Genomic DNA, 10,500 nt, shown 5'->3' with positions numbered 1-10,500 from the left:
ACTGTCCATGATACTTATAATTCCCGTAAATCTTCACTTAACACCTAACATTTATTTAATCTTACTAGGCAAGGTAATAAGAAATACATAGGTTTGCCTCCAGAAGTGGGTTCTTAAGAAACCCACCAGAGGAACTCCTCTTTCAGATGTCCACATTAGAAGATTTCATATCACATTTGGTGCCACAGGCCTTTGACAAGGAGGATGCAGAGGAAAAAGCAAACTTCACCTCTTCCTAGGGAAAGTGTTGGCCTGCCAACAGGAAAGAGGCAACATCTGGGAAAATCCCCAGTCTTTGCCAGGAAGAGTCCATGCCAACCCCACCCCATGACCCCTGTCCTGCCTACTCATTGTCACTCTTCACTCCAATGTCCCTCCCCCAGATCCTCTTATAAAATCCCACTCTTTCCTGACCAGACAAACCATACCATATCCCACCAGAGAGGTAAGTGGGAGCTGAGAGAAGATGAGACCCAGGGAGGAGCTACTGCACATGACACAGGAGAATACATGGGAGGGTCCCTTCCTCAGGGAGCACAGGAACTCTGAGACTCAGCAAGGGTGTCCTGGGAGGGCTCGGGGATGGGAGAGTACACAGATTCACAACTCATTCAGAACTGTAGAAGATGATGGATGTGACCAAGATCACTTTAGTCCTAGGGGACTAGAGAAGGAAAATGACATGAGGCAGTGGGGTATCTGTGTGTTCTCCCACTGACCACGCTTTCTTTAGTGACTCCTGATTGCCTCCTCAAGTCGCAGACACTATGCTGCCTCCCATGGCCCTGCCCAGTGTATCTTGGATGCTGCTTTCCTGCCTCATGCTGCTGTCTCAGGTTCAAGGTGAGATTGCTTTGCCTCTAGCACTGGGTTCCCTATGAATCCTCAGAGCTAACAAGAGGAGGAAGGCTCCTGTGTGTCATGTGAGGTAATGACGTGGTGTCTAATGAACCTGCCTGCAGTTCTTGCATCATCTCTCCTTCCTTCAGGTTAACTTGCAGTGGGAGGCTCCATGGTGGTCCACTAACAGTGGAATGAGATGGCTTCCATTTAGTCAGTGGACTCTAATATACACTGGTGGGAAAGTGGACTCTAATATACACTGGAGGGTCAGTAATGAGATGTGGGGAGGGACAATGATTGGAGGACCCAATGTAGAGACAGCCCAGAGTGAGGAGAGTATTGAATGGTTGAATAAGGGGAAAGGGTAATAAGAGACTGGATGGTGCTCCATTTACTACGGCTATTTTGAGATAAAGAATTTCTGAAAACATAAGGGAAGATGAAGGGGTGTCAGGAATGTGGTCTTCCTCCCCAAGGACATTCCTAGGTATTCCCCAAGGTCATCTCCCACCCCAAGCCCCACTCTTCATTTTACCCTCCCCCCTCTTCTTCCACCTCAGGTGAAGAACCCCAGAGGGAACTGCCCTCTGCACGGATCCGCTGTCCCAAAGGCTCCAAGGCCTATGGCTCCCACTGCTATGCCTTGTTTTTGTCACCAAAATCCTGGACAGATGCAGATGTGAGTGGTTAGATGTGGTGTTGGAGGTGACCGGTCTCAGGGGGAGGAGGGTCTCCATTCAGGAGAGTTCCTTGGGAATGAGGATGAACACGTTTATCTTTCACACAGTCCTCCTCCCACCTACCTTTGCCCTGCCCTCCCTCAGCAGGTCTCAGGCTCCCTCTCATTCTCTTTGTTGCCCTCAAAGCTGGCCTGCCAGAAGCGGCCCTCTGGAAACCTGGTGTCTGTGCTCAGTGGGGCTGAGGGATCCTTCGTGTCCTCCCTGGTGAAGAGCATTGGTAACAGCTACTCATACGTCTGGATTGGGCTCCATGACCCCACACAGGTGCCAGTATATCCTCCCCTCTCTGTTACCTCTCAAGGTGCTATTGTTGCCCAGGCCCACTCCCTGTCCCCTGTGCCTGCCCAGGAAGTACTTCAGGGAGCACTGGAGCTCAGATTCTGGGGAATATTTGGGGGGAAAGGGAAGGCCATGAAGCATCTGAAGATCTGAGTTCTGTGGAGGTCTCTATCTTTCAGATAAAATCAATCTGCCTTCCTCAGGCGTATTACATAATTCTCATATGAGGCTGGGTTAACAATTCTCTGAGCTTCATGGAGTCTTTGCCTACTATTCTGAAGGAACTCTTAATGAAGATAGGATCAATTTTTGTCCCCATACAGAACTGACATTACTTTTGAGGTTCACAAGCTAATCACAAATGCTACATCAATTATTGTTCTGCAAATAATATATTACCTTGAGTTGTTCCAAAGGTCTTATGTTTATTGGCTGGAATTTTCCAATAGCAATGAGGAGTCAAGGAAGAGTTTCCTACTCACCGGCAGCATCTGGAATAGCAGACCAACTTTCCTCATGCTGGGGAGCAAATCAGGTGTTGCAGCTAAGGGGCCATGCAAGAAGAGCTGCAATGGCCATTCCCTTCACCTGGCTACCTCCTCTACTCTACAGGGCACCGAGCCCAATGGAGAAGGTTGGGAGTGGAGTAGCAGTGATGTGATGAATTACTTTGCATGGGAGAGAAATCCCTCCACCATCTCAAGCCCCGGCCACTGTGCGAGCCTGTCGAGAAGCACAGGTAAGAAACAGAGGAGCTGCCTCTTCCCAGTGTTTTCCATCTCATCCCCCATTCCTGGGTCTGACCTTCAGGAAATCTTCCTGAGCTAGAAAATACAATGTTAGTGTGTCTTCTCTTATCTCCTCTCTTCTCCACTTTCTTTGAATCTCTCTCCTGGATTGGGACACTGGTGAAGGTGAGGGAGAGGCTTTAACTTCTAGGCTAAAACCTGGGATGCCCCTTCATTGGATTCACAAGCTTCCTCAGCCCCATTCCATTTATGTCTTCTGTCTCTCCAGCATTTCTGAGGTGGAAAGATTATAACTGTAATGTGAGGTTACCCTATGTCTGCAAGTTCACTGACTAGTGCAGGAGGGAAGTCAGCAGCCTGTGTTTGGTGTGCAACTCATCATGGGCATGAGACCAGTGTGAGGACTCACCCTGGAAGAGAATATTCGCTTAATTCCCCCAACCTGACCACCTCATTCTTATCTTTCTTCTGTTTCTTCCTCCCCGCTGTCATTTCAGTCTCTTCATTTTGTCATACGGCCTAAGGCTTTAAAGAGCAATAAAATTTTTAGTCTGCACTTGTTTGTCTTGTATATGCCAGTGTCATAGCCATACTCTGAGAAGGACAAAGTGTTTGAGTGGAGGAAACTTTATGGGTCTTGCTTCTTCCCTATTCACCCAGGCCTCTAGGGAAAATGATGAAGTGTGCATCCCTACCAGTGTGTTATGATGAGGGTGTGGGTCCTGCTCATGTAGGATTTGTGTTGTGGAGAGATGAGGACATTTCTCTCCCGCGTACTTACTGCCCTCCCATTCCCGTAGCCCAAACCTGACAGTGTGACATGAACAGATTTAGGAGGCTCTGATGGTGCTTAGAATAGTACTTCTCAGAGAATGGCATCAGCAGGATGGTAGATAGGACTTTCCAGCTCTTGAACCTTCACAGAAACATTCATTTGAACTACTACCCATTAAAATGGAAATACCTTCACAAGAGCTAACAATCCCAAGTGAGTGATTAAAGCATCTGAATGTTGCAAAAAATAAGAAAGGATGCATCGAAGAGGGTAGAAAGAAGACTTTTACATTATTTATATCACCCCTCCATCAATCTCAGTAAGCACAGCATGGAGAGACATTCCCTAAACTTGGGGAAAGAGAGTGAAATAAGCACTTGAGTTTTCCATGGACCCTAACACTAGGTTTGCCTCAGTAAGACCCAGTGGCCTCTGACTCCAGGCAGACACCCTTGGACTTAGACTCCAGGCTGCCTTGATGCCAGGCCAGGCTCTGTGGCCCCAGGCTCTGTGACCCCAGGCTCCAGGTCAGCCCCCATGACTGCAGCCTCCAGTCTTGCCCCAGAAGATGCAGGCTCTAGACACACACAGCATCATGCTTTTCCCCATAGCTCCAGACCACAGGCCAGCACCCACTGACAAAGACTCTAAGCCCACCTCAAGGACAAGCTAGCACTTGCAGCCACAGACTCCAGGGTGACCCCTGAAATCCTAGACATCAGGCCTGCCCATGTGGACCTGCCCTTCAGACCCACCACAGCTCCAGGATAGCTCCCACAGCTACAACTTCAGGCCAGCACTTGCAGACCCCAGCTCCAGACTGACACTCACAGTCGCAGGATACGGTCCTGTCAAATCCCAAACCCTCCCCAAGCCTTTAGGTCCATCTGAGCACAAAGCCCTGATGCTAGGCCAGCCTCTGTGGCCTCTGTCACTAGGCCAGCCCCCACAGACACAAGTTCTGGATTTTCCCAGTTCCAGGCGAGGCTCTGTGGACTCGGTACTAGTCTGGCCTCATACTCCAGCAGACCCAGGATCAAGCTTCATTACAGTAGACCTTAGCACCAGGCCAGCCCCCCCGACTCAGGCTCCAGCCTTAGCCCCATGAATCCAGTCTCCAGACTTACCCCAGAGGCAAGTTGACATTCATGGTCCCAGGCTACAGGCCACCCCCACTAACCCTGGCTCCATACCAGCCCCTGTAGTTTCAGGTACCAGCCCAGTATGCACAGACTCAAACTCCAGACCTGTCCTAGAGACTCAGATACTACATCTGTCCTAGTGCCTGGCTAACCCCTGAAGACATGGGTTCAAGGCCTGCTTTAGAGCCAGATTGGTCTCCAGGAAGTAGGATTTAGTCTGGCTCCTGTGATTAGAGGCTTCGGGCCTGCCCTCATGAAGTGACTGCCTACCCTGGTATACCAAGTCAATAGGTCCACTTGAGGATGCCAGCAGCAAGCCTGCCCAAAGACCAAGCCAGATGGCCTGCCCAGAATCTCTGGATGACTGACTGGTGAAGGGCTTTGTCTGCTAAAGCCAGTCTGTAAAAACTGGAATAAGTGACTACTTGTTCAAAAAGTCAAACACCAAAGACACATGACCACAAGTATCATAAACAATCAAGGAAATATGATATTACCAACAGAACAAAATAAAGGACTAGTAACTGACCTTAAGGGGAAAGAATTTTACAAACTGCTCAACAAATAATTTAAAGCAATTGTCTAAAAGAAACTCAGTGAGCTACAAGAGAATACAGATAGACAACTAAATGAAATCAGAAAAACAATATGTGAACAAAATCAGAAGGTCAAGAAAGAGATTTGTTTTAAAGTTAAAAAAAAACACATAGTGGCTGAACTGAAGAAATGCATGGAGAATTTCAACAGCAGACTTGATCAAGCAGCAGAAAAAGTCAGTGAGTTTGAGACAAGTCATTTGAAATTATCCAGTCAGAGAAACAAAAAGAAAAAAGAAACAAAAAGAGAAAATAAAGCTTAAGGAAACTATGGTACATGATCAACTGAGCCAATATATATATTATGGGTTTTCTAGAAGGAGCAGAGGCAGAAAATGGGCAGAAAACATATATAAAAAATAATGGGTCATGGGGTTTGGCATCCCCATGCCTGTCAGTGCCTCACCCCAGCCAACGAGCATGCACCCAGCCATGCTGCCACTGCCGTGGCATGAGCACAGATCCCACTGCTATCACCCTGACAGAGTACTGTGGTCACTGCCACTTACTGGAGTGTTGTGGCCAGCAATCCAGGAACACCTTTGGACCCCCAGCACAGCAGGTTCCTAACTTCGAGGGGTGAGAGAACAAAGCTAGGGGCCTGATAATAGCATTCCAGAATTGGGGAATGCTGAGCTGAACCTTGGCCCACTGACATCTTCCAGAAATGAAGTGAGTCAACTGAGCCCACCTTATACCACAATCAAACCCCCAAGGGCATCAAAAAGGATAAACACACACACACACACACACACACACACACACACACAATCCATCCAAAAAACAGCAACTTCAAAGATTAAAGGAACGCCAGCCCACACAGATGAGAAAGAACCAGTGCAAGAACTCTGGCAACTCCAAAAGCCAGCGTCTATTTTTACCTCCAAACAATTACACTAGTTATCCAGCAATGGTTCCTAACCAGTCTGAAATATCTGAAATGACAGAAATAGATCTTGGAATATGGATAGGAACCAAGATTATTGAGCTTCAGGCAAAAGTGAAAATCCATTTCCAGGATTCTATACAATAAAACGATACAGAAAATGAAAGATGAAATGGTCATTTTAAGAAAGAACCAAACTGATCTGATAGAGGTGAAAAACTCATTTCAAAAATTTCAGAATACAATCACAAGTATTAACAGCAGAATTGATCAAGCTGAGGAAAGAATCTCAGATCTCAAAGACAGTTCTCTGAAATAACTTAGACACATATTAGAAATTAAAAAAAGATTGAAGAAAATTAAACAAAACCTCTGAAAATTATGGTATTATGTAAAGAGACCAAATTTATGACTCATTGAAAGCAAGCAATTTGGAAAACATATTTCAAAATATCATCCATGAAAACTTCCCCAACCTCCTTGGAGAGGGCAAACTTTAAATTCAGGAAATGCAGAGAACCCCTGTGAGACTACACAAGATAACCATCCCCAAGCCACACAGTCATCAGACTCTCCAAGGCTGAAATGAAAGAAAAAAATGTTAAAGGTAGCTAGAGAGAAGGGGTAGATCACTTACAAAGGGAACCTCATCAGGCTAACAGCAGTGTTGTCAGCAGAAATCCTACAAGCCAGAAGAGATTGGGGCCCTATATTCAGCATTCTTAAGGCAAAGAAATCCTAAACAAGAATTTCATATCCAGGAAAACTAAGCTTCATAAGCTAAGGAGAAATAAGATCCTTTTCAGATAATCAAATGCTAAAGGAATTTATTACCTCCAGACCTGCCTTACAAAATAACCTAAAAAGAGTGCTAAATACAGAAAGGAGTGACCATTACTGGCTACTACAAAAACATACTTAAGTACATAGACCAGTGACACTATAAAGCAACCACACAAACAAGTCTTCATAATAACTAGCTAACAACATGATGACAGGATCAAATCTGCATACATCAATACTAACCTTGAATGTAAATGGGCTAAATGCCCCAATTAAAAGGTACAGAGTGGCAAGTTGGAAAACAAGCATGACATAATGGTATGCCCCTCTCATATGCAATGACCCATCTCACATGCAATGACACTACTAGACTCAAAGTAAAGGGATGGAGAAAAATCTACCATGCAAACAAAAAACAGAAAAAAAAAGCCAGGTTTGCTATACCAATTTCAGACAAAACAGACTGTAAACCAAGAGATTTTTGAAAGACAAGGGCATTATGCAGTGGTAAAGGGCTCCATTCAAATGAAGACCTAACTATCCTAAATATATACATACCCAATACAGGAGCACCCAGATTTATAAAGCAAGTTCTTAGAGACCTACAAAGAGAATTAGATAACCACACAATCAGAGTAGAGACTTCAATACTCCACTGGCAGTATTAGACAGATCATCGAAGCAGAAAACTAACGATGATATTCAGGACCTGAACTCAACACTTGACCATATCTAGTAGACATCTACAGAACTCCTCACTCTCAAACAATAGAATACACATTTTTCTCATTGGCACATAGCACATTCTCTAAAATTGACCACACAATTGAGCATAAAACAATCCTCAGCAAGCTCAAAAAAACAACAACATAAAAACAAAAACAGAAATCATACCAACCACACTCTTTGATCGACCACAGTGCAATAACAATAGAAATCCCTACTAAAAAATCACCTGAAACCATACAATTACATGGAAATTAAACAGCCTGCTCCTGAATGACTTTGAGGTAAATAATGAAATTAAGGTAGGCATAAAGAAATTCTTTGAAATGAATGAGAACAAAGATGCAACATATCAGAACCTCCCACACACAGCTAAAGCAGTGTTAAGAGGGAAGTTTATAGCACTAAACACCCACATCAAGAAGTTAGACAGATCTCAAGTTAACAATCTAACATCACACTTAGAGGAATTAGACAAGTGAGAACAAACCAACTCCAAAGCTAGCAGATACAAGAAATAACCAAAATCCGACCTGAGCTGAAGGAAACTGAGATGTGAAAATCATACAGAAGATCAACAAATCCATGAATATGTCATTTAAAAGAATAAATATGACTGATACAACACTGGCTAGACTGACACAGAAAAAAGATAAGATCCAAATAAACACAATCAGAAATGACAAAGGGGACATTACCACTGACACCACAGGAAAAACAAGCAAACAAGCAAACAAACAAACAAAAACCCTCGACGACTACTTTGAACACCACTGTGCATACAAGTTGAAAGACCTAGAAGAAACGGTTTAATTCTTGGAAGCATATAACCTCCCAAGATTGAACCAGGAAGAAATTGAATCCCTGAACAGACCAATAATGAGTTCTGAAATTAAATCATTAATAAAATACCTACCAACCAGAGAAAGCCCAGGGCAGGATAGATTTTCTGCCAAATTCTGTGAGATGTATAAAGAAGAGCAGAAGACACCATTCTTACTAAAACTATTCCAAAAAATTGAGGAGGGGAGACTCCTTCCTAACTCATTCTATGAGGCCAACATTGTCCTGATATGAAAATCTGACAAAGACACAACAACAACAAAAAATCCAACTTCAGGCCAATATCCTTGATGAACATTGATGCAAAAATCCTTAACAAAATACTAGCCAACTAAATCCAGCAACACACCAAAAAGCCACAATCAACTAGGCTTTAGAATGTGAGGTTGGTTCAACATATCTAAATCAATAAATTGATTTATCACATAAACAGAACCAAAAACAAAAAACACATCATCATATCTATATATGCAGGAAAGGCTTTAGACAAAATTAAACATCTCTTTGTGTTTAAACCCTAAACAAAGTAGGCATTGAAGGAATATCCTTTAGAACCTTAAGCGCCATCTATGACAAACCCATAGAAAACATCGTACTGAATGGACAAAAACTGGATGCATTCCCCTTGAAAACTGAAATAAGACAAGAAAGTCCTCTCTCCCCATTTCTATTCTACATATTACTGAAAGTCCTGGCCAAAACAATCAGGCAATAGAAGGAAATAAATGGCATCCAGATAGGGTGAGAGAAAGTCAAACTATCCCTGTTTGCATATGATACTATTCTATATCTAGAAAACCCCATTATCTCAGCCCAAAAGCTCCTTCAGCTGATGAACAACTTCAGCAAAGTTTCAGGATACAAAATCAATGAAAGAAAATCACTAGGATTCCTATATAACAACAATATCCCAGCAGAGAGACAAATCAAGAACACAATCCCATTCACAATAGTTATAAGAAGAATAAAATGCCTAAGAATACAGATAAGCAGGGCGACAAAAGAACTCTACAAGGAGAATTATCAAACACTGCTCAAAAAAATCAGAGATGACACAAACAAATGAAAAAACATTCCAGGCTCATTGATAGGAAAAATCAATATTGTTAAAATGGCCATACTGCCCAAGGCAATTTATAGATTTAATGTTATTCATAAGAAACTACCGGAAACTTTCTTCACAGAATTAGAAAAACTATTTTAAACTTTATATGGAACAAAAAAGCCCGAATAGTCAAGGCATTCCTAAGCAAAAAGGACAAAGCTGAAGGCATCACATTGCCCAACTTCAAATTATACTAGAAGGCTACAGTAACCCAAACTGCATGGTACTAGTACAAAAAGAGACAGATAGACCAAAGGAACAGAATAGAAATCCCAGAAATAATGCTACATACCTACAAACATCTGATCTTCAACAAAGTTGACAAAAATAAGCAGTGGGAAAAGGACTTCCTATTCAATAAATGGTGCTGGGATAACTGGATAGTCATATGTAGATGATTGAAACTGGACCCCTTCTTTATACTATTTTAAAAGGTAAACTCAAGATGGATTAAAGAGTCAAATGTAAAACTATAAAATCCTGGAAGATAACCTAGGAAATGCCCTTCTGGACATAGGATCTTGCAAAGATTTCATGATGAAGATGCCAAAAGCAATTGCAACAAAAACAAAAATTGACAAATGGGATCTAATTAAAGAAAAGAGCTTCTAAACAACAAAAGAAATTATCAAAAGAGTAAACAGACAACCTACAGAATGGGAGAAAACATTTGCAAACTATGCATCTGACATAGTTTGGTCTAATATCCAGAATCTACAAAAATCTTAAATTAGCAAGCAAAAACTGAACAACTGCATTAAAACGTGTGCAAAGGACATGAACAGACACTTTTCGAAAGAAGATATACACACAGCCAAGAAGCATATAAATATGCTCAAAATCACTAATCATCAGATAAATGAAAATTAATACCACAGTGAGATGCCATCTCACACCAGTCAGCATGGCTGTTTTTAAAAAGTCAAAAAATAACAGATGCTAGCAAGGTTGCAGAGAATAGGCTATGTTTATACACTTCTGGTAGGAATGTAAATTAGTTCAGCCACTGTGGAAAGCAGTTTGGAAATTTATC

At 42.7% G+C, this 10,500-nt stretch overlaps 1 protein-coding gene across 3 annotated transcripts; it reads left to right on the top strand.

The window, feature by feature from the left end:
- Positions 420–3,167, top strand: REG3A (regenerating family member 3 alpha). 3 transcript variants are annotated; one of them, NM_138937.3, is made up of 6 exons: positions 420–445; positions 757–843; positions 1,404–1,522; positions 1,710–1,847; positions 2,475–2,601; positions 2,880–3,167. In NM_138937.3, exons 2-6 carry the CDS (start codon positions 768–770, stop codon positions 2,945–2,947), a joined length of 528 nt encoding a protein of 175 aa, NP_620354.1. In that variant the 5' UTR covers positions 420–445; positions 757–767; the 3' UTR covers positions 2,948–3,167. The 3 variants fall into 3 exon arrangements, with proteins under 3 accessions (NP_620354.1, NP_002571.1, NP_620355.1); NM_002580.3 differs by having other exon boundaries at positions 734–843; NM_138938.3 differs by having other exon boundaries at positions 420–843.

This window comes from Homo sapiens, chromosome 2 (assembly GCF_000001405.40).
Source record: "Homo sapiens chromosome 2, GRCh38.p14 Primary Assembly".
Taxonomy (NCBI): Eukaryota; Metazoa; Chordata; class Mammalia; order Primates; family Hominidae; genus Homo; species Homo sapiens.
Note: the sequence above shows the minus strand (reverse complement) of the source record. Positions and strands in the feature narration are given on the sequence as shown.